Source organism: Homo sapiens, chromosome 9 (assembly GCF_000001405.40).
Source record: "Homo sapiens chromosome 9, GRCh38.p14 Primary Assembly".
Classification (NCBI taxonomy): domain Eukaryota; kingdom Metazoa; phylum Chordata; class Mammalia; order Primates; family Hominidae; genus Homo; species Homo sapiens.
Window position 1 is genome coordinate 18,161,937 of NC_000009.12, and position 25,524 is coordinate 18,187,460.

A 25,524-nucleotide genomic window follows, 5' to 3' on the forward strand; every position below is an offset into this window, starting at 1 on the left:
AGATAACCTCATTGTGCCCTGCCTTTCAGTGACTGTATTAGTTTTCTATTGCTGCCATAACAAATTACCACAAATTTAAAGGCTTAAAATAGCACAAAAGTATTATCTTACAATTTCTGTAGGTCAGAAGTCTGGCAAGTTATGGTTGGATTCTCTGGTCCGTGTATTACTGGGTTAAAATCAAGATATTGGCTGAAGATAACAGTTCTCATCTAGGACTGGGGTCCTCTTTCAAGCTTCCTTCTCATGCTTCCTACATGCCCCTGCCCCTCCCATCTTCAAGCCAGCAGTGGCAAATCAAGTCCTTGTTACACTTTAAATCTCTTTGATTTCCCCCTCTGTCACATCGCTGACTTCCTCTTCTCCCTCAGCCTGGAGAAAGCTTTGTTTTTACATACTCATGTGATTACATTGGGCCTACCTGGATAATCCAGGTTACTAACCCTAATTAGTAGTCTTAATTACATCTGCAAAGTCCTTTTGGCCAGGTAAAGCAAGTGTGTGTGACAGCAGAGTGTATAGGTGCTGGGGGCCAAGATTCTTTTTACTACCATCAGTCATATTGACTATTCTGTATAACAACAGAATTTTAAGTTTAATTAAGACCTTTTTGTCTTGGTATCATATGAAAGTATTTGATGGATTGAGCATCTTGATGAGATGCCATTATATATGTTATAGAAGAGTATACCCCTTTCCAAAAGACATACGGTTTAAAATGACTAATTTATTATGCATTATTTTCAAGAAGGTATAAATTAATATAAACATCCACATATTCATTACTGATATTAGCAATACCATAAAAAGGTATAAAATGCAAAATGTATGAGAGTTAAAAAGACAATGTGATATACCGTGTTCATTATAAATATTATAAATATGATTAAAGAATTTCATGTGCTAGAACCTTAGATTTTTACTTGTTCCTTGAGCAGAATGTGCTTTTGATAATAATAATGGCTGTTATTTACTGAAAGCTTACTATATGAAAGGCATCACACTAAGCATTTTACATGTTATTTCCTATTTTCTCAACAATGCAACATTGTTATCATTCCTGTTGTACAGTGAGTAAACTGAGGCATAGAGAGGCAGGAGGAGGCCTGGGTGAACTGATTATACCTTGAATGTATAGGAGTTACTTAACAATTTGCCTCTCACCAGAGGTAGCTTGAGTAGCTCAGTAGCCAAATGATAAAATGAAAAGATGAGAGTTTTAGAGTTAGACCTGTATTTGAATGCTGATTTCAACACTTACTGACTTGACAAATTCCTGAAACCCTTTGTGCCTTTAGTTCCTAATTTGTAAAATGTGGCTGATAACAGACACCTCTTGGGGTTGTCACAAGATAACCTGTGTAAAGAACCTGGAATGTGATAAGCTCTAGATGAAAGTTCTCCAATACCTCCTTCCGGAGCAGCTAAAGTACATCTGGTTCTAAAGCACTTGAATAGCCCAGGAAGTCAGTTCTGGGCTCAGGCCAGGCTTTTCTTATGTGGTAAATATTTAACTGGACATGGGGACCCATCTAGGTGCTGGGATCTATTGGACTAAGGATTGATCCCTGTGGGTCCAAGACACATATGAGTTCAGATCCATGGATAGCCCAATGGGATGAGTCTAGGAGCCTGACCATATTGGACCTGGCCACAGAGATAACCTGTAATCACTGGATTTTGAGATTGTACACCCGTCAGTTAAGAGGCACCAATTTAGCAGGGGATGTTCCTGGTATCCATTGGAGGAGCCACATGCCAGAATGTTCTAGTGGTTCTCGCATTAATATGTATTTGCGTGCATTGTTTTTGATTGCTCTAATCAGCCTTGAAATGAATCCAAGAGCTTTCTGCAACTAATTGCACAGTGCCCAATCCCTCCAGGCTCTGTCTGAAGGCTTAATTCAGCTACCTTATCTCTCTAGGTATGCGGAGACCAAAGCCAAGGGGCTGTTTTCCTGCGGGAATTTACACTGATTCGAAGAGAGAGCCTCCATGAAGATTTCCTGTCTGACCTCTTGAATAGTCACAAAACTGAAGACTCGGTACAGTGTCGCTTCTTCTACTTATTCACAGAAAACACTGAGGTTCAATGGCTGATTCTGACTTGTGGTGGTGGTTTTTAGCAAATCTGAAGAGGTTTGGATGGTATTTTCTCACATCTGTGAGAGGAGGGGGAGGCAAAGTGTAGGGCAGTGGACAGACTGTATAGGGCAACTTTCTGACTTTTCCTGGGTCTGGCAAGATTTAAACATTTTACTCAAGCGTTAAAGTTTGTTTGGGGCAGCATGTGGAGGATTCACATTAAGACACTGATGTTTTGCCAGCGAGTCTGAACATGAAATGGTAATAATTTAAATAAGTGAAGGAATAAGGAGATTTATATGTAAAGCCCAGATTGTTTTATGGGTCAGTGGAAATTCCACTGTCTTCCAATCCTGGCTTCTTTGTAGATATTCTTACTTCAAAGTGCTAGTGATATTTGTTTTATGAAAGTTTGTTTCTCTGGTGGTGGTTTTAGGGGAAAACACTCTAGAAAATGAGCTCTCAAATGAAAACAATAGTACAGTTGACTGGAGATGTCAAGATTACAGGCCTTTCTCTGCTTGCGAATCAAACTGTGATTTGTAATTTGGACTTCTTTGTGAGAATTGGACAGACAACTTGTGAAAGTTCTAAATGTGGTTCTGTATAGTGATGACCTTAGGCTCAGAAGTATTCATATTAGAATTAGAGGATGCCGTATATACAAGCTAGTGGGTTTCTTATCCAACATAAAAGGGTAGGATCGCAGAAAATAACATCTTAGAATACCCCCAAAACAAACATACAAGTGACTTTATTTCTACCTTCTGTACCCTAACTCTTGACTGCCCTCTCTCAAGAGTGTATCTTTTGCATATTGTGTCACATGTGTTTCTTTCAGACAGAGTAAATTGGCTCTCTTCATTGCCATTCACAAGGCACTTCTTATTGTTTTTGTCATTTACATTTTTTTCATGGTGAGCATTCACATCTTTCTCAAAGCATATGGCCCAGTGTGAGCAAGAATGGTGGTGGAGGTTCCCAATGGTGCTATAATACATTTTCATATGGTTCATATATTGGTTTTTTTTTCTCAGTAAGCCTGAATATGCAGAGCCTACCTTTTAAATTTTCTATGTTTGTTTACAGCTTTCTTTGTGATCTACTGTGGACCTACACATTGTCACCTAAGTTTTATTTTTCCTTCTTATGAAAAATATCTTGCAATTATATCTTAATTTTGTCCCATTTGCTGTTATGCGAAATCTGAAATATTTTAGCTCATATCGAGTTTGGTTTATGCAAAGTCCTGGCAAGTGCTGCTATATAGATACTACATGAAAACTTCATAAACAAGTCTAATTATTATATCATTTATGCCATAAAGGAAATTGAATAATATGAACTAATTAGGGACATAATGGAATTGTCACAGTAGTTCCACTGAAACCAATTTTTGTCACTTGGTAAGCATCAAAGGGTGTCATAAACATTATTATTACTACCTAATATTACATTGATTTCCATTAAAATGAAAACTGTCCATGCTGTTGAATTTCCTCAAAGGTAATTTATAATTACCTTTTAATAGTTATAATTAGCTTACTCATAGTAATTAAGTGGGTGGAGGCATTTTACCTGTTTTACCTAAAAGAGAAATTACCTACCAACACAAGTAGTCACTCCACAAAGCTGGAATTTTACAAGAAAAAGAGGGGAAAACAAGAAAAGTTCAAAGTTTCTCAACTACCAGAAGCTACTTCAGTCTCCCAATAAGTGTGTGAAATTCTAACAATTTCTGTGGAAGGTGTGTCTCCATACGTGAGAGCTTCATTTGGCCCACAGATAGAAAACTTTGAAAGTGTAACTTTATTTCCTAAATCAACATTAGAAGATGAATCGCCGTAATCTCCGTTTGTCAAGGGGAAGAGTTCAAACATGAGTTGCTACTCGTATTAGTAACCAGAAAGGTGGAATTCCCTTTCTTGCCCCTTATTTATGAGTTTCTGTCTTATTGGGAGGAGGCTCTTCAGCAGAATGGGAGAATCAACAAGAAACCTTCCTGGTATAGGTCACAAGAATCACTTGACAAAAGCAAGTCAGTGAGAGATGAAAAAGGTTGAGCAGCATACTCTGTTTGTACAAACCTATTTGATTTTAAGTATGTCTTCCCTAGTATCCCAAAGACATTTATGCACACGTTTCACCTCCCCTACCAGATTAGCAGCTCTGCTCCTTGAAGACAGGACCTCTGTTGATTCTCAGGTCCCTAGGATTTAGCCCAGCACTTGCTTCTGATAAATGCTCATTTGTGTTGAGGGTTTAATCACAAATGAATAGAGAATAGTCGTGGTGAGAAAACCCACCATGCCTATCCTCTATTGCCTTGTTGTTAACATTTTATATTGAAAACACTGAGAATTCCATCACGGAATATGCATGAAAAGGGCCTTATAAATGTGAACATCCTTCTAAATGCAAAGCATTCTTCTTAAAATGATATGAATGACTTCAGTTTTTAATGAGGTGATAAAAAAATATTTGGGATTATCTGTCACGACGTCTCTTCAAGCCAGTATATAGGTTTATCATAAGTAATGTAAACTCAGGGATGTTTGCCAACTGGAAATTGATAGTTGTGGAAGTAACAAATGTATCCCCAGCACATAGAGCATTTTGGACAGAAGTAGCATTAACTCTAGGAAACACCATGTCTCACTCCAGGTGAAAGTACTGCTATTCTAAGGGCTTTAACTTTTCTTCTCTCACACCCTTTCTTTACTAAAAATTCTTCCGGAAAAGTTTCTTTCAAAAATGTAAATAATGTTTGAAAACCAGAACAGCCTGCCTTATTTGTGGCACGCTTTAACCTAAAAAATTAATTTATTTTGACCAAAATAGGTGGTCATTTTGACCTTTCAGTGATACTTTCTCAATCCCTTCTCAACGAGGACCTATTGGCGTGAATTAACTTTTGCATTGCGTTAGAAAAACTTTCTAGCTAGCTTCCTCTCAGAGGGCTAATTTCGTTCTCTGCACTTTGAGAAGCTATTTAAGTGAGCCATTTGTCTAGAAGCCACAGCAGTCAACTAAACTTCCAGTGATTGCCTGAAATTCTGCATGTATATGATTTGCATTGTTTGCAGAGAAGAAATAAGATGTTTGTCAAACGCTTTTATTCGTTATTGAAATAGTCAAGACACAGATCATGTTGATTTTGATTGTAAGCTGGATGCAAAAACAGGATGATAATTAACAAAATTCATTAAAGAATGAGGTTTTCTTCAGTATGTAATTAGTGTACACTTCATTTGCCTGTAGCTTTGTGGTAAACACAGTGGTTATTGAAGCCACTATTGTACCTTGGTATAAAAGAGAAGTTATTTAAATATTTATACCAATTGAGGGGTTGAGTGTTCCTTTGAATGACTGGTAAAATAGAGGTGTCTTTTGTGAAATGGAGGTGAGCTTTCAGAAGGAGATCTTCAGAAATGCCTGCCTTTAATCACAGTGTGTAAAGAGTTTGTTTTTTAGGGCAAGTCATTAATTTGCTGAAAATCAACTGAAATAAAAAAATGCAATTTACTAAAAATGATTCTGCTTTAAAGTAAATTATATTTTCTCCGTTAGTTGGCTGCAAGGCAGGTAACTGGTGTGGGGCAGTATTATTTCTACAAACTGGAAAATTCACTCAACCAATACATACATTCTCAAGTAAAATGGAATATAACTATTTCCATGTATTCTTGAGGGACTCACCAACCTCCTCCCCACTCCTGTCAATAGAAATGAAATATTAGAATGTAAGCACTAGTACCTGAAGATAATTTAATTTGCTTAATTATATTTCTAAACTGGCTACTATTTTAGAATATTTAGTGGACATAAATTCAAAGAAAATAGAAATATGTCAGGAACATTTGAGTTACTGAAGAATGACTCACTCTTTCATTAGCATCTTCCCACTTGAATTCATTCAGCACATTCCTGACAGAATGTTTAGGAACAAATGTGATCTAATTGCTTCTTCCATAACTGTTTGTGGAATAAAGAGAAGAATGAACTAACATTTAATCGCAAATGTACACATGCTCTAAATTGCCTGTAACTTCATAAAGCTTTATTGATTAGTGACCATTATATTTTTTCTTAACTAGTTTTTTTTTTAATACTTTAAGTTTTAGGATACATGTGCACAACGTGCAGGTTTGTTACATATGTATGCATGTGCCATGTTGGTGTGCTGCACCCATTAACTCATCATTTAGCATTAGGTATATCTCCTAATGCTATCCTTATGCTATCCCTCACCCCTCCCCCAACCCCACAAGGGTCCCTGGTGTGTGATGTTCCCCTTCCTGTGTCCATGAGTTCTCATTGCTAAATTGCCACCTATGAGTGAGAACATGCGGTGTTTGGTTTTTTGTCCTTGTGATAGTTTGCTGAGAATGATGGTTTCCAGCTTCATCCATGTCCCTACAAAGGACATGAACTCATCATTTTTTATGGCTGCATAGTATTCCATGGTATATATGTGCCACATTTTCTTAATCCAGTCTATCATTGTTGGACATTTGGGTTGGTTCCAAGTCTTTGCTATTGTGAATAATGCCGCACTAAACATACGTGTGCCTGTGTCTTTATAGCAGCATGATTTATAATCCTTTGGGTATATACCCAGTAATGGGATGGCTGGGTCAAATGGTATTTCTAGTTCTAGATCCCTGAGGAATCGCCACACTGACTTCCACAATGGTTGAACTAGTTTACAGTCCCACCAACAGTGTAAAAGTGTTCCTATTTCTCCACATCCTCTCCAGCACCTGTTGTTTCCTGACTTTTTAATGATCGCCATTCTAACTGGTGTGAGATGGTATCTCATTGTGGTTTTGATTTGCATTTCTCTGATGGCCAGTGATGATGAGCATTTTTTCATGTGCTTTTTGGCTGCATAAATGTCTTCTTTTGAGAAGTGTCTGTTCATATCCTTCGCCCACTTTTTGATGGGGTTGTTTGTTTTTTCTTGTAAATTTGTTTGAGTTCATTGTAGATTCTGGATATTAGCCCTTTGTCAGATGAGTAGGTTGCAAAACTTTTCTCCCATTCTGTAGGTTGCCTGTTCACTCTGATGGTAGTTTGTTTTGCTGTGCAGAAGCTCTTTAGTTTAATGAGATCCCATTTGTCAATTTTGGCTTTTGTTGCCATTGCTTTTGGTGTTTTAGGTATGAAGTCCTTGCCCATGCCTATGTCCTGAATGGTGTTGCCTAGGTTTTCTTCTAGGGTTTTTATGGTTTTAGGTCTAACATTTAAGTCTTTAATCCATCTTGAATTGATTTTTGTATAAGGTGTAAGGAAGGGATCCAGTTTCAGCTTTCTACATATGGCTAGCCAGTTTTCCCAGCACCACTTATTAAATAGGGAATCCTTTCCCCATTTCTTGTTTTTGTCAGGTTTGCCAAAGATCAGATAGTTGTAGATATGTGGCATTATTTCTGAGGGCTCTGTTGTGTTCCATTGATCTATATCTCTGTTTTGGTACCAGTACCATGCTGTTTTGGTTACTGTAGCCTTGTAGTATAGTTTGAAGTCAGGTAGTGTGATGCCTCCAGCTTTGTTCTTTTGACTTAGGATTGACTTGGCGATGCGGGCTCTTTTTTAGTTCCATATGAAGCTTAAAGTAGTTTTTTCCAATTCTGTGAAAAAGTCATTGGTAGCTTGATGGAGATGGCATTGAATCTATAAATTACCTTGGGCAGTATGGCTATTTTCATGATATTGATTCTTCCTACCCATGAGCATGGAATGTTCTTCCATTTGTTTGTATCCTCTTCTATTTCATTGAGCAGTGGTTTGTAGTTCTCTTAACTAGTTTTATGCAAAGGAGAATAGTGCATTGATTTTGGAAGGGTCAGATGTTTTAAAAAGGTAAGTCATTCCTATTTAATCTTTGGTTTTTTGGAATGCTCACAACTATAACTTGAGTTGGCTACCAAAATTCTACCTTGGGCAAATACAGGGAGACAAGAAGCATAGATTTGGTTACAGCACATTTGCTACTTTGAGTTATATGATATTACAAAGAAAAAATCAGAACATCCTACATAGTTTGTAAAATCTGTTACCCTGTGGGGTTTTTAAGTGTTATTATTTGCCTGTATTTTACAAGACTTACCCAATGTATTATGTCTCTACCAGTAACGAACTATATACATAAAAAACCCTTTAAGTTTCACACATAAATATTTCATATAACTTCACATTTTCTGATTTTACTTTGTATTCTAAACTAATACTCTAAATCATTTCTACATTTTTATGGAAAGGAAAAAGGAAGCTGGGGAAGGCTGGATATGCACCAAACACTTTACTAAGGGATGTATATGTATTTCTCAGAACAACCTGAGGTAGGAAATAAATATCTACATTTGGCAATATAGAGCTATTTAATGAAAAATGGAATAAATATCTTGGAGAAATATAATTTTAGAAAGGTACCACTTACAGTAGTAACAAAACTATAAAAACTGAAGTCTGAAAGAGGTACAAAATGGAGTATTAACGAATAACTCAAAGATATAAAGTTAATTAAGACCACATTATTTACTTGTGTACACGTGAAGCCTATGGGACCAATAATTAATTTCATCTCAGAAAGGCAAAACAGATTTAAATAAGAGAAAGAGAAAAGAGGAAAGAGAAAGAAAAAGCCTGGATTGTTTTAAATAGCAAACAGCTTCCATTTTTTATTGTTTGAGATAGTAAACTACTGGTTAGCAGGCCCCTCTCAGAAAGGCCAGCCCATGCTCTGCCCTGGAGAGAATGGATGTGTCACATACAGATTCTCTAGGAGAGCTGGGCATCTAACTGTGGTGGATACATGACAGGCTTTCTCTCTACTGTTGTCATCAGGTTTCTGTGTTAGTGTTTATATTTCATTGTACCAGGAATACATCATCAACCTTATCAATATCCCTCAGGATAGAATTATAAATCCTTACTGAAAGATTATGGGATCTAATAAATGGAGAGATATAAAATGTTCATGAATGGGAAGTCTTAATGTCATGAGGATGCCAATTTCCCCACAAATTAATCCACATATCTAGCATAACCAGAATGATTTTGAAGAAGAAAAGGATGAGTGTTGCTCTATTTGTTACAAAGCTATAAGAATTAAAACAGTGTGATATTAGAACGTAGATAGACAAATAGAACAACATAGATAACTAAAGAACCTATAAATAGACACATATAAAAAAGAACTTGGTATATCACAGATGTGCTGTTAGAGATAATTGGTAAAGGATGTAATAAATGGTTACATAAAAACAAATTTCAGACATATTAAAAGTTTAAATGTGAAAAGCATGACCTTAAAACTTAAAAATGAACTTGTATAAGAATTTACTTAACTAGGACATAAAAAGCACAACCTGTAAAAGAAAATATTATACTTTAAATTATATTAACATTTTAATGGCATAGAAATTTAATATGCTTTAACATTCCATAAACAAGGTAAAAGGACAAGACACAAGCTGGAAGGTATTCTTTGCAATGTACATAACTGGCAAAAAAATATGTAATATATGAAGAACTCCTAGATTTTGAATATTAGCCCTTTGTCAGATGGACAGATTGCAAAAATTTTCTCCCATTCTATAGGTTGCCTCTTCACTATGATGATAGTTTCTTTTGCTGTGCAGAAGCTCTTCAGTTTAATCAGATCCCATTTGTCTATTTTGGCTTTTGTTGCCATTGCTTTTGGTGTTTTAGTCATGAAGTCTTTGCCCATGCCTATGTCCTGAATGGTATTACCTAGGTTTTCTTCTAGGGTTTTTATGGTTTTAGGTCTTACGTTTAAGTCTTTAATCCATCTTGAGTTAATTTTTGTGTAAGGTGTAAGGAAGGGATCCAGTTTCAGCTTTCTGCATATGGCTAGCCAATTTTCCCAACACCATTTATTAAATAGGGAATCCTTTCCCCATTTCTTGTTTTTTCACGTTTGCCAAAGATCAGATGGTTGTAGATGTGGAAACCATCATTCACACCTAACTAACACAAGAACAGAAAACCAAAGACAGCATGTTCTCACTCATAAGTGGGAGCTGAACAACGAGAACACATGGACACAGGGAGGAGAACATCAAACACGGGGGCTTGTCAGGGGGTGGGGGGCTGGGGAGGGATAGCATTAGGAGAAATACTTAATGTAGATGATGGGTTGATGGGTGCAGCAAACAACCATGGCACGTGTATACCTAGGTAACAAACCTGCACGTTCTACACATGTACCCCAGAACTTAAAGTATATATAAAAAAAGAACTCCTAGAGATCATTCTTAAAAAGATGAACAGCCCAATAGAAAAAAATGAATCATTAGAAGGACACATGGATGGCTAATACACATGAAAGAGGTTCTCAGCCTTACTCATCATAAGGGATTTACAAATTAAAATAACAGAAATAGCATTTCGTACCCATCAGATAGGCAACAAATTTAAAGGACCAACGAAGGCAGTTGTCAGTGAGAAAGTAAGGTTATGAGAAGCACTCCTATACTGCTGGTGGGAGCATAAATTGGTATAACCACTTTAAAGAGCAACTTGGCAGTGTCTATAAGGTTGAATATATTCATGTCCTAAATCCCAGCAATTTCACTTTAAAAATCTACCTTAGAGAAGCCCTTACACTTACATTCAATTAAGTATTGAATGTTATAGCCTAAAAATGAAAGAAAATCATGAATATCCATCAGAAGGTAAATGGGAGAATAACGTATTGCTTATTTATACAATAAACACTATATAAATAAATAACACATCTACATGTATTAAAATAGATAGATTTCAAAAATAAAATATTCAGGGGGAAGGGATACCATTTTACAACATGGCATCATTTTTTGCCATTTTAATGTTACATAAATCTTTATTAGATTTCATTTAGAGAAAATATATATAAAGACAGAGGTGCGAAAAATATGCTTCAACTTTGGGATGTTCGCTAACCTCTTTAGGCAGAGGAGGACAGATAATTGGGTTGGGATGCTATGCATAGTACACTTTAGCCCTATCTATAATGTGTTACTGATTTTTTAAAAATGATAATATAAAATGTTTCTATTTGTTTAAATGGCTAGTGGTTGCACACATATTTGCTTCATTATTTCAGTGTGCTTTAATGACTGAGATATTTTATAATGCATGTATAACAAAAACTTGGGATAATATCTGGCAAATAGAACAAAATAAATGGTAACTGTTTTTATTAGCAGTGGTTGAACTGGAAAATCACTGAAACATAAAGTGACAACGCTCGGTGCCCAAGATTTAATATATTTTTGCCTCACAATATAATTAAGCAATAGTCAAAAGTATGACAGCAGAACCCAACATCATGGGGCCTCCTATGAGTTCATGAACTGTGCCTCTAGTAAATAATGTCAGGATGATGAATCTCAGTACTGAAGGAGAGGGACTCTTTTTTTACACTTGACCTTTGGAATTAACGAAAACCATTATCCTTTAAGGGAAAAATAATTCTTTTTTCTTTATCAAGTTCTAATTTCCTTACAGCTTACACAGCCCCTATCTTTTATTTATGAGATGTCCTGCATTTGCTAGGATTCTGCCATTTATTCCAAACAACAAATAGATACCAAGATTAATTATCTAGAAGACATTGGAAGTAATAAAATGTGAAGCATTAAAAGCCCCAACACTAATGCAGACAGATTTTTAGGCTCAGACAACCTCTCAAATACAGAGTAAAATTCGGTTTAAAAAATGTTAACATTTAGTTAGAAATACATAAATAACACGTGTGAATTTTATTACTCTTTTGGGGGGCATTTTCACGTTTCATATTGTGAGGCCCTTCCGAAAGAGAACTTTGTCAATAATGGTGAAATTTCGGTTTTACAGAAATTCTTGCTAGGCATGAACTCCAACTTTTTTTCTTCAGGTTAGTATTCAAATTCCTGAGTTAGTCACCACTTAGAGTTAATGTTAAACAAACTAGAACACTCTGAAACGAATGATGAATATCACATATCTTTAGTATAGTTATAAATGTAAGGAGATGGATATTTGCTGCTTAACTTCGGAACTGTCTTAATAAGCATAAACATAAGACTTATATTATACCTCAGAAAACCACTTGAGGCACCAAAGAATAGTTTATTGCTTCCCTGTACTAAATGTCCTTAATATAAAGAGCAAATTCACCTTATGGAAAGGCAACTATCTTCCCAAGGAGTCCCTTAGTTGTTTGTAAGGTAATGCTGAAGCTATCAACCCGTGCGTTGAGTTTAAATGCCTATCCTAAATAGACCATGTCTGACTTAGTCATGTATGGAGGCACCATCCATCAGTAGTTGAAGGCAGTTGAAAAGGAGTGGTTGGGGATTCTTCTAGTGGTTGAACAAGGTCATTTGGCATCAGAGGTCTGCACAGAGGGGTGCTGAGTAGAACTGGAGTGGTCAGACAGCCTTCTGGAATCATATGATCAAAAGTCAGATATGTGATACCTAAATTTAAGAAAGTATGAGAGGATACTTCAGGCTGTGAGCAGTGACAAAATGTCCTTTTGATACAGCACACCCTCTCCTAGAATTTTAAAATTTTCTAATATGGATACACATGACTTTTTTTTTAGTTTTTAGAGTTAGTGCTATTTCAGAGTAGGTAGAAATTTGCATCTTTAAACTAAGATTGTAATCGGGCTGACCAACTGAAGTAAAACACTAACAAGACATTATTTAAAGAATAATATTATTAAGTGATGCAATTTCTAAATGTTCATTTTAAAATTTGTATCCTGTTTTCCCTGGTTGTTAATGGTAATTTTTAAGTAAGAGAACAATGTCGTAATTTTGCTAAATTTAAAAAATGGTAGCGTTATTACCCAATGGAAAGTTTGGGAAAGGAGAACAATTTAGTTTCTTGTGTGTGTTATTAAGTTCAGTTTCAACTTGATGTTGACAAGGAAGAAAATGAATATTAAAAGAATTAAAGATCTATATTGTTTAAACATATAAACGTTTCTTTTGCTAAGAGAAAATATCTGTATCTATAATTAAATTTTAACACCAACTTTGAAAATGTGGGATTTGATATCAAGGTGCATTTATAGAGCTGAAAACCTGAGGAGGGGTTGTGTTGTTGGGTTGAAGCTTCATTTCCAACTGGCTGTGAGACTTTAGGCAAGTCATAGAACTCTTTAAACCTTGTCTTCTTGACCTTTAAAATAAACATGTTCTGGATGATCTTGAACCCTAAGATATTGTGTTTCAAATTTGATATTTAATGGAAACTTTAAATTCTTAGAGTTCTTCCTAGTAGACTCACCTTCCTTCCCAGTTCTCCACAAACACCAGCTGGCTGCCCATCCATTCTGCAGACACTGTGCATTTATCAATATAATATTGGTAACGATTAATATGCACATTGCTCTTTACACAGTGGATACTTGTATGTCAAAGCTAATTATGTGCTTTTGGGATGTCGTATTCCTGAAACACAATTTAACATCAAAACACCTTAGTCTGATTCCTACTTAACTCTAATCTTGCTTCTGACAATATCCATTTAGAACTTCTTAGCTTCAACTTTCTGAGACCACTTTTTGTTTCATATCATATTATCAGTTCAGTGCCTTGCTCACAGGACTTCTTCTGCCTGGAATGTCTTCCTTCCCTACTCTCTAGACTTTCCTTTCTTAACTCAATCCAAGTCCTACCTGCTCCAGGAAGCCAGCTCTCATTCTGGTCCTCAGGGTGGCCTTGTCTCTCCAAAGTCCTATGGGTCTCACTATCTTTGCTCATGGAACCAGCCCATGGCATGCCTCCTCAGGCTGCCTGGAAGACTCTACACAGATATGGAGAATCCTTGACTCAGGCTGAGGGGCAGTCTAGTACCAGGCTCTTAATCTTCAGAGATGGAAGACCAAGAAGGGAATTTTAGTCCAAGTCTGGGAAAAGAAGAAGGTATATTGAGATTTCAGAGGGTAGGATTTAGGGAAGGGGCTAAGAAGAGGGAAAGCAAAAAAAAAAAAAAAAAAAAAAAAAAGGCAAACAAAGGTTTCGTTTGGCTAGAGGTGCAGTTGGACACAAGGTAATTAAAAAATTCAGACTAGGAAATAAGTCTGTGGTCTTGTTTCAAGAATGTTGTCAATTTGTTGTAGCGTGCTGCTGGAGACTGAAACCCTCCTATTTTGCAACTTTACTTATCATTTTATACATATAGATCATTTGCCCTAGCGTATTTTTAAGCAAGGAATATGTTTGACACTACTTTGTTTTTCCAGCCCATGGAACAGAATCTTAAGCAGGGTAAAAATAATAAAATAGTAACAACAATAGTAATAATTATTAAAATGTGAGCAATAGTAATGGGAGTATATATCATTTATTGATGCTATAGTGATAATAACTGTATTAATAACAATCTTGGTAACAATAATAATAATTATAGTTATTGACTATCATGATAGTAACTGTCATTTATTACCCTCTTCTGTATCACGTGCTGCCTTAAGCACTTTGAATACATATCTTCATTAATCTTAGAGAGAGGGTAACATTTCCCTCTCGTAATGGAAGAAGAAATGAAAAGCAGTTTTTCCAGGGTCACAAAGATCTGTTACTTAAGTTGTTAAAATGATGCAATTTAAAGAATACAGGAATTCAACTTAACAACCATTTACTGAGCATCAACTTTACTCAGCACCATAGTATAGGTACTAACAGGGGATATAAAAATGAGTTAAGTAGTCTATACTTTCTAGGAGTTCAGAATGTTAACATTTTAATTCTAACTGTTGGGATATTTTTGTTTTTAGGTCAGCTCACTGGGATAATGGCAAAGTACTTAGAATACAGTATCATTAATTCAGGATATATCATCCTGTTAATAGGAAAATCTTCAGAAACAGCGCTTGATTTTATTAAAGAAGTCTTAAACTCAGTTACATATGAAGCAGGTTCAAAGGAGTTGATGAGCACAGAAAATTTCAGGTAGACATTATTATAGTTTGCAATTATATTCCCACATAGGGCTATTGCTTTGCACCCTCAATTGCCTTTTAATGGATTTGAGCATTGACATATGTATGTTTAGATGGCTTCCTGACTCCATTTAGAAAGTACAATTTAGTAAATTGGTTTGAATGTAGGACCAGTTACCAGTGCTGGCTAGTGTACCAAGTTTCTATGGGGACTGTTCATCTTTATGTATTACATATGCCCCAAAGAATGAATGAATGCATGTGTGGAGAATGTGTATAGGAAGCTAAGTAAGTTGTTGAAAACTATGGTGTTGTGTGCTGGACACCAATCTGGTATAATTGTTATTAATAGTAGAAGAAATTCGCCTTAGCTTTTTATGTACCTTAACTTCCTGGCAATTAATAATGCATGACACTGATGGAAATGTGGCTAAAACGTTGCGTCATTTAATATTAAGTCCACCGTATGTGCCTGAAACTTCCCCAGACAGTGGCGTGAAAATAGACATTTGTTTTTTCCTTATGTAAAAGAAACTTTCCAGAGATAGAAATTTCAGGACCAGTATGATCAAAGGTGCTAGGGACACAGCTTATTCTACTTTCCTTCTAAGTCATCCATGCCTCCCGTTCGCAAGGATACTTGGTGATCCAAAATGGCACCAGAGCTCCAGTCATTACACCTATATTCCAGCCAGTGAGAAAGAGGAAAGGACAAATGGAGGAACGGTGCATATTAGCTGGCTTGTAAGAGATCTTCCGGTTGCTGTCACTCACTTTCTTTTTATATCTCACTGGCAAGGATTTGGTTACATACCCATGCCTAGGTGCAGGGGAATCTGGGCAGCCATACAGCTAGCTTAAGGAAGAAGGGAGAATGGGTACTGGAGTGAGCAGCTAACAGTCTCTGCCACAGTGATATAGTAGGTGAAACAATAATTGAATAAAATCCCCCAAGTGTGCACGATGAATACAAAATTCACTTGCCAGTGGCTTTAAAATTTTTGGCGGGTGATGAAAGTGTTTTAGAATTAGATAGTGGTCGGGAAGAGGAGCCCAGATGGCCGAATAGGAACAGCTCCAGTCTACAGCTCCCAGCATGAGCGACGCAGAAGAAGGGTGATTTCTGCATTTCCATCTGAGGTAGCGGGTTCATCTCACTAAGGAGTGCCAGACAGTGGGCGCAGGTCAGTGGGTGAGCGCACTGTGCGCGAGCCGAAGCAGGGCGAGGCATTGCCTCACTTGGGAAGCACAAGGGGTCAGGGAGTTCCCTTTCCTAGTCAAAGAAAGGGGTGACAGACGGCACCTGGAAAATCGGGTCACTCCCACCCAAATACTGCGCTTTTCCGACGGGCTTAAAAAACGGCGCACCAGGAGATTATATCCTGCACCTGGCTCGGAGGGTCCTACACCCATGGAGTCTCGCTGATTGCTAGCACAGCAGTCTGAGATCAAACTGCAAGGCAGCAGCGAGGCTGGGGGAGGGGCGCCCGCCATTGCCCAGGCTTGCTTAGGTGAACAAAGCAGCCGGGAAGCTCGAACTGGGTGGAGCCCACCACAGCTCAAGGAGGCCTGCCTGCCTCTGTAGGCTCCACCTCTGGGGGCAGGGCACAGACAAACAAAAAGACAGCAGTAACCTCTGCAGACTTAAATGTCCCTGTCTGACAGCTTTGAAGAGAGCAGTGGTTCTCCCAGCACGCAGCTGTAGATCTGAGAACGGGCAGACTGCCTCCTCAAGTGGGTCCCTGACCCCTGACCCCCGAGCAGCCTAACTGGGAGGCACCCCCAAGCAGGGGCAGACTGACACCTCACATGGCCAGGTACTCCAACAGAACTGCAGCTGAGGGTCCTGTCTGTTGGAAGGAAAACTAACAAACAGAAAGGACATCCACACCAAAAACCCATTTGTACATCACCATCATCAAAGACCAAAAGTAGATAAAACCACAAAGATGGGGAAAAAACAGAGCAGAAAAACTGGAAACTCTAAAAAGCAGAGCGCCTCTCCTCCTCCAAAGGAACGCAGTTCCTCACCAGCAACAGAACAAAGCTGGACGGAGAATGACTTTGACGAGCTGAGAGAAGAAGGCTTCAGACAATCAAATTACTCCGAGCTACGGGAGGACATTCAAACCAAAGGCAAAGACGTTGAAAACTTTGAAAAAATTTAGAAGAATGTATAACTAGAATAACCAATACAGAGAAGTGCTTAAAGGAGCTGATGGAGCTGAAAACCAAGGCTCGAGAACTACGTGAAGAATGCAGAAGCCACAGGAGCCGATGCGATCAACTGGAAGAAAGGGTATCAGCGATGGAAGATGAAATGAATGAAATGAAGCGAGAAGGGAAGTTTAGAGAAAAAAGAATAAAAAGAAACGAGCGAAGCCTCCAAGAAATATGGGACTACGTGAAAAGACCAAATCTACGTCTGACTGGTGTACCTGAAAGTGACGGGGAGAATGGAACCAAGTGGGAAAACACTCTGCAGGATATTATCCAGGAGAACTTCCCCAATCTAGCAAGGCAGGCCAACATTCAGATTCAGAAAATACAGAGAACACCACAAAGATACTCCTCGAGAAGAGCAACTCCCAGACACATAATTGTCAGATTCACCAAAGTTGAAATGAAGGAAAAAATGTTAAGGGCAGCCAGAGAGAAAGGTGGGTTACCCTCAAAGGGAAGCCCATCAGACTAACAGCGGATCTCTCGGCAGAAACTCTACAAGCCAGAAGAGAGTGGGGACCAATATTCAACATTCTTAAAGAAAAGAATTTTCAACCCAGAATTTCATATCCAGCCAAACTAAGCTTCATAAGTGAAGGAGAAATAAAATCCTTTACAGACAAGCAAATGCTGAGAGATTTTGTCACCACCAGGCCTGCCCTAAAAGAGCTCCTGAAGGAAGCGCTAAACATGGAAAGGAACAACAAGTACCAGCCACTGCAAAATCATGCCAAATTGTAAAGACCATCGAGACTAGGAAGAAACTGCATCAACTAACAAGCAAAATAACCAGCTAACATCATAATGACAGGATCAAATTCACACATAACAATATTAACTTTAAATATAAATGGACTAAATGCTCCAATTAAAAGACACAGACTGGCAAATTGGATAAAGAGTCAAGACCCATCACTGTGCTGTATTCAGGAAACCCATCTCACGTGCAGAGACACACATAGGCTCAAAATAAAAGGATGGAGGAAGATCTACCAAGCAAATGGAAAACAAAAAAAGGCAGGGGTTGCAATCCTAGTCTCCGATAAAACAGACTTTAAGGCCGGGCACGGTGGCTCACGCCTGTAATCCCAGCACTTTGGGAGGCTGAGGCGGGCGGATCACGAGGTCAGGAGATCGAGACCATCCCGGCTAAAACGGTGAAACCCCGTCTCTACTAAAAATACAAAAAATTAGCCAGGCGTAGTGGCGGGCGCCTGTAGTCCCAGCTACTTGGGAGGCTGAGGCAGGAGAATGGCGTGAACCCGGGAGGCGGAGCTTGCAGTGAGCCAAGATCCCGCCACTGCACTCCAGCCTGGGTGACAGAGCGAGACTCCGTGTCAAAAAAAAAAAAAAAAAAAAAAATACCTAAGAATCCAACTTACCAGGGATGTGAAGGACCTCTTCAAGGAGAACTACAAACCACTGCTCAAGGAAATAAAAGAGGATACAAACAAATGGAAGAACATTCCATGCTCATGGGTAGGAAGAATCAATATCATGAAAATGGCCATACTGCCAAAGGTAATTTACAGATTCAATGCCATCCCCATCAAGCTACCAATGACTTTCTTCACAGAATTGGAAAAAACTACTTTAAACTTCATATGGAACCAAACAAGAGCCCGCATCGCCAAGTCAATCCTAAGGCAAAAGAACAAAGCTGGAGGCATCACACTACTTGACTTCAAACTATACTACAAGGCTACAGTAACCAAAACAGCATGGTACTGGTACCAAAACAGCGATATTGATCAATGGAACAGAACAGAGCCCTCAGAAATAACACCGCATATCTACAACTATCTGATCTTTGACAAACCTGACAAAAACAAGCAATGGGGAAAGGATTCCCTATTTAATAAATGGTGCTGGGAAAACTGGCTAGCCATATGTAGAAAGCTGAAACTGGATCCCTTCCTTACACCTTATACAAAAATCAATTCAAGATGGATTAAAGACTTAAATGTTAGACCTAAAACCATAAAAGCCCTAGAAGAAAACCTAGGCAACACCATTCAGGACATAGGCATGGGCAAGGACTTCATGTCTAAAACACCAAAAGCAATGGCAACAAAAGCCAAAATTGACAAATGGGATCTCATTAAACTAAAGAGCTTCTGCACAGCAAAAGAAATTACCATCAGAGTGAACAGGCAATCTACAAAATGGGAGAAAATTTTTGCAAGCTACTCATCTGACCAAGGGGTAATATCCAGAATCTACAATGAACTCAAACAAATTTACAAGAAAAAAACAAACAACCCGATCAAAAAGTGGGCGAAGGATATGAACAGACACTTCTCAAAAGAAGACATTTATGCAGCCAAAAAACACATGAAAAAATGCTCACCATCACTGGCCATCAGAGAAATGCAAATCAAAACCACAATGAGATACCATCTCACACCATTTAGAATGGCGATCATTAAAAAGTCAGGAAACAACAGGTGCTGGAGAGGATGTGGAGAAATAGGAACACTTTTACACTGTTGGTGGGACTGTAAACTAGTTCAACCCTTGTGGAAGTCAGTGTGGCGATTCCTCAGGGATCTAGAACTAGAAATACCATTTGACCCAGCCATCCCATTACTGGGTATATACCCAAAGGATTATAAATCATGCTGCTATAAAGACACATGCACACGTATGTTTATTGCGGCATTATTCACAATAGCAAAGACTTGGAGCCAACCCAAATGTCCAACAAAGATAGACTGGATTAAGAAAATGTGGCACATATACACCATGGAATACTATGCAGCCATAAAAAAATGATGAGTTCATGTCCTTTGTAGGGACATGGATGAAATTGGAAATCATCATTCTCAGTAAACTATTGCAAGAACAAAAAACCAAACACCGCATATTCTCACTCATAGGTGGGAATTGAGCTATGAGAACTCATGGACACAGGAAGGGGAACATCACACTCTGGGGCCTGTTGTGGTGTGGGGGGAGGGGGGAGGGATAGCATTGGGAGATATACGTAATGCTAGATGACGAGTTAGTGGGTGCAGCGCACCAGCATGTCACATGTATACATATGTAACAAACATGCACATTGTGCACAAGTACCCTAAAACTTAAAGTATAAAAAAAAAAAAAAGAAGAATTAGATAGTGGTCATGATTACACAATATACTAAAAACTACTTAATTGTATACCCTTTGAAGGATGACTTCTATGAATTACATGTTGATTTTTAAAAAGAATCCTGTGGTCTATACAGTTTAAGAAGGGAAAACAAAGACTCAAAAACTTTATTCTCTAGAATATAAAGACAATAGTTTAAAAAAGAGTGGAGGCTCTCACAACATGTCTTGTGGCTCTGTTTATATAAGGAGAAATGCTCCCACAGTAATACTTTATGCCTGATGCTGGCCTGTAAGGCAAAGTGAGAGATAAATGGTTGAACTGCAGAGTGGCAGGTAGTGATAATAATAGTGATGAACACAGCAGCAGCACACATTTATTATTTATCAGACACTAAGTTATGAATGTGACATAATGGCAGACATTTCAGATCATATCAGAAATAATCTTATGAGAAAACTGAGGCACGGAGTGATTAACCACCTTATCAAGGTTACATGCTTTGTAGGTAGTAGAATGCGGGTTACAGTTCGGGCAGCCTGATTCCACAGTCCATAGTCCTGATTGCTATACTGCACTATATGCTGCCTCTAAACACTGAAGCAGGAGCCATGGACTCTCATTTACAAGTAAGGAAACTGAAGCTGAACCAGCTTAAATATCTGGCTGTAATGATCATATAGCTAGTAATAAGGTGTTACTGGGTTCAAAACTAGACCTAGATGATTCTAAAGCCATTAATTCCTATATGTTATTGCCTGCCAGGTAATCAGACTTTCTCTTTCTGCCAAAAGTGTCCTCCCCAACTGATCTTTGATAAAGGAGCAAACGCAACACAGTGAAGTAAAGACAGTCTTTCAACAGATGGTGCTGGAACAACTGGATGTCCACATGCAAAAAATTAAATCTGGGCATAGACCTTACACCCTTCACAAAAATTAATTCAAAATGGATTATGGACCTAAACAGAAACACAAAACTAAAAAATTCTTAGAAGATAACATGGGAGAAAACCTAGATGACATTGGGTGTAGTGATGATGTTTTATATAGAACACCAAAGGCATGATTCACGAAATAATTGATAATCAAGACTTCACTATAACTAAAAACTTCTTCTTTGTAAAAGATAATGTCAAGATAACGAAAAGGCAAACCACAGACTGGGAGAAAGTATTTGCAGAAGACATCTGAAAAAGCATTATTATCTAAAATATACTGAACTTAAAACTCAACAATAAACAAACAATCCAGTTCAAAAATGGGCCAAAGACCTTAACAGATACCTCACCAAAGAAAATATACAGTTGGCAAATAAGCATATAAAAATATGCTATACATCGTATGTCACTAGGGGGATGCAAATTAAAACAACAGTGAGATACCACTACACATCTATTAGAATGGTCAAAATCCAAACGCTGACATCATGCCACTCTAACTTATGTGCAACATTCAGTAATTTATGTAAAAAAGAATAAACCAGTCTTTATTTACAGGTTGGATGACATTGGACGTAACTTTACTATTCTAATTACAGCTTGAAGATTCTTGTATGGATAACTTTTCTATTATTTTGAATTTGCACTGAGAAATTAAATTTTATATAGTTGAAACAAGCGCAAACTAATTAAATACCGTGACTAGGGAAGGAAGTTTCAACGGTAATTTAAATCTGAGACATTGTTTTTCAGATAGGGTTTGGTCATAGAATAAACTCACCCTGTTGTCTTATTTCCCAGTGCTGTCTAAAAGAGGGAGAGATTAGTTCATCATCCAACAGATAATTCCGAAATGTAACAAATGCTGACAGAAGTGACAAGCATTTCATTTTCTTTGAATGGATTCCAAAGTTCATTCCACTTGCTGCATATATTTCTTGTTCACCAGATAACTGCTCCAAAGAGTGTAAAGTCTGATAGCAATTGTGGTGTAAAATTGTTATGCACACTAAATACTTTACCTATAACCTCTGCCTCGTGTACCAAAGGAGGGATAAGGAGCTGAACTTCTCGTGCCTGGAAGAGGAAACTAACTTAAACAAGTTCCAGACTGGTGGCTGCAGTGAAGGAAATATCAATTTTTCTCAAGTTTATCTAGGATTATTCAAGTATTTCCTACACAAAACTTTTACAAGAATTTTTTTTTAATCACCAGTATCAAAATTTTCCATAGGCAGTTAAATACCTAAGAGGATATGATAAGAGGATAGGATTTTTGCTTTTTGGAGTGAGTAAAGAAGGGAAACTTCCGCTTTTATTTTGCCTGTTGTCATTGGAATTTCACCATAGCCAAGTGCCTTGTCCTGGCCTACTGCCATGAGTAGGCATTCTTTAGTAACTGAACATTAGCCAGAGATTCCCTCAATCCACTGAATAACAAACTCGTCTCATGTAGAAATGACAGAGAGTTGATCAGTATTTTCACAACGCATCTATAGAAGAAAAAAATATGAGGCAGCAATATTATTTCTTGAAAGTAGTGACCTCTGGCTTGAGATTTCATCCGTATATCTAAAAATCACGTATTAAATACCTGGACTATTCAGAACATGGCCAAACTCAGAAAGTAATTAAAATGGCAGTCATAAAAATCACTGTAACTAACTCACGAAAGGCCCTTTGGTCTCCTGTTTTGGGTCTATTGTTCTAACTTTGCATTTCATACTAAGCAGGTTGATTAATTGACACAGGTTGAATCTCCCTTCTCTGAAATGATTGGCACCAGAAGTCTTTTGTATTTTAGGGCATTTTGGATGTCAGATTTTCAGATTGGGGGTATTTAATCTCTATGGCTCAAAGATTTTAAAGTAGCCCCTATGATCCTCACCTCCTGGTCTTTATAGCCTGGTGTTCATAATCCTTTCCCTTGAGTGTGGGCAGAATCTGTGACTGCTTCTAACCAATAGAATATGGCAAAGACGACAGGATATTATTCCTCTGATGATGTTGTGTAAGACACCCTCATACTAGAAGATTTGCTTGAGAGTCTTGCTCTCCTTCCTACTGGCTTTGAAGAAGCCAGCTACCATGAGTTTTACAGCCACAGGCCATGAATTCTTCCAACAACCTGTAAACTAAGAAGTAAACACTTCCCCTGATGAGTCATCAGAGGAGAACCCAGCCCTTTCTGACACTTCTATTTCAGCCTTGCAAAGCACCTGGCCAAGCTATGCACACGGTCCTGACCCACAGAAACTGTGAATTTATAAATGTGTATTATTATTAGCCACTAAGTTTGTGGTAATTTGTTATGCAGCATGGAAAACTAACACAATTGGTTTCTTAAACTATGAAACAAAGACATTGCTACTTGAATCAGGTAGGTACTGATAGCAACGAGAGAAGAGACAACTGACAAGGAGACAAAATTATCGAGAAATTATTAAAAAAACACTAGCTGTCTAAATCAATTTGGTATAGAAATGAATAGCTTTATACATCAGTATAATCTTTGAAAGCATAATTGAGTAACAAATGTGTGCATAATTATGACTCCAAGTTTACAAGCATTGGTTATGTCATGTAAAATACATGCTGTACAAGAAGGTAGAGATCTATGTAATACAATTGGGAAAAAAGTTTCACAATTATTGATGTGGCGTTGGATGTGTTTGACCATGGAACATGGAATAGTTTGAGAATTTAAAATTTACTCTAGGATTAAATGAAGGCATCATAAAATAAGTATTTATGGTCAAAGAATTACATATCCCTTTCTCACAGTGTGATATGTCAAAATCCTTATAGAATAGTAAGTAAATATTTTAAGTTATGATAAAAGCTTGAGCTGAGAATTCAAGTACCACGTATTTCTGTGCAGCCTGGACAACCTGGCCTCTGCTTCCAAGGAGAAAATATTCCTGGAATTGTAAACAAGACAGAATGGCTAATGATGGTTGTGGACCATAGGCTGGTTTTTCCTTAGATTGTAAGGTATGAGAGGAAGAGATCTTCTTGGTCTGTGAAACAGCTAGTAAGGAAACAACTACTATTGAGTTCTTATTTTTAAAAAAGCACAAAACTTGAAGCATGTTTCTATAACCTTCCTATAAACTTGCTTGAGGTTTGCTTTTTTTGGTCTTCTCTGCATCTCTTGACATTTGAAGTAGGATGATATCATGTGAGTAAATGCTGGCAATGTCCTTGATCAGGAATTTGAAGCTTTGTTGCCTAGTCCCTACCCAAATACATCCTAGTCATGTCACCTGCCTGAGACTTCATTTTGCCGACTGTAGAATGGGTATGTAATGCCCCACCATAAAAGTAGACTTTGCATTTCAGTCCCTTTGACAGAACTGCTTAAAAAAATTATTGCAATATATTTTGTGATTGGTTCTGATTTAAAATAAAAGTTGTCTAACATGTTTAATGAGATCTGTAGGATGAAAAGTTTGAGCGGGATCTCTTTCTGTAATTTGGAATTGCATTTCACATTTTATAAAACACTTTTCCTTGCATCCAGTCACTTGATCTTCTTGGTCATTGGTCATGCTGGGAAATTATTATTATCATATTGTGCCAGCAGTGCCTTCTTATCACTGTACAACACACACACACACACACACACACACACATGCACAAACACACACAAACGTGAACATATATATTATTGACGATAAGGATGGGTTTGTCCAGTACCCCATAACTGGTAAATGGTGGAACCAGGACCCAGACTCAAGACTTTCAACTCTAAATCCCATGTCTAACTCTGGAATACTTCAGTGGAAAGATAGCACTAGTGGAAGTGGTCATCTCTTGAGAGCAAAATTGTTTCTGGGTCACCATGCTGCATTTTCATCAGCAACTGTCATGTGGTGTTCCCAGTAAGTAACTCACATTTGGAGTGATGCAGCCCCTCAGTCATGGGCCTAACTAACTTCTCTCTGTTGATGCAGAGTTCTAGGCACACAGGGAAGCCCTTGTCATTATCTTCTTTCTAGTAACTACTCTCCATGGAGTACAGTCCTTATAGATGATGGTGAAAACACAATGTTTATCATTGTTCCTGGAGCCCTGAAGCTAAATAACTCCTATTTAAGGTATTGTTACTCTGAAAAACTGCATCAGATTTTAAATGAATTTCAAAGGTGTAAACCTGACCTGTCCATAGGTTCACATTGGGACTATTCAGTCTTTAAATGATTTATTTGAAGATCTAAAGGGCTTAAATACC

General features: G+C 37.8%; 1 protein-coding gene across 10 annotated transcripts in view; it reads left to right on the forward strand.

The window, feature by feature from the left end:
• The window catches only part of ADAMTSL1 (ADAMTS like 1), a 1,004,318-nt gene that overhangs the window by 255,304 nt on the left and 723,490 nt on the right, over positions 1-25,524 (forward strand). For all 10 annotated transcript variants that reach the window (XM_011518064.4, XM_017015312.3, XM_011518063.3 and 7 more), the window contains one exon: positions 1,926-2,045. In XM_011518064.4, the coding sequence (XP_011516366.1) occupies positions 1,926-2,045 (120 nt within the window). The remainder of the gene's footprint in view (positions 1-1,925; positions 2,046-25,524) is intronic.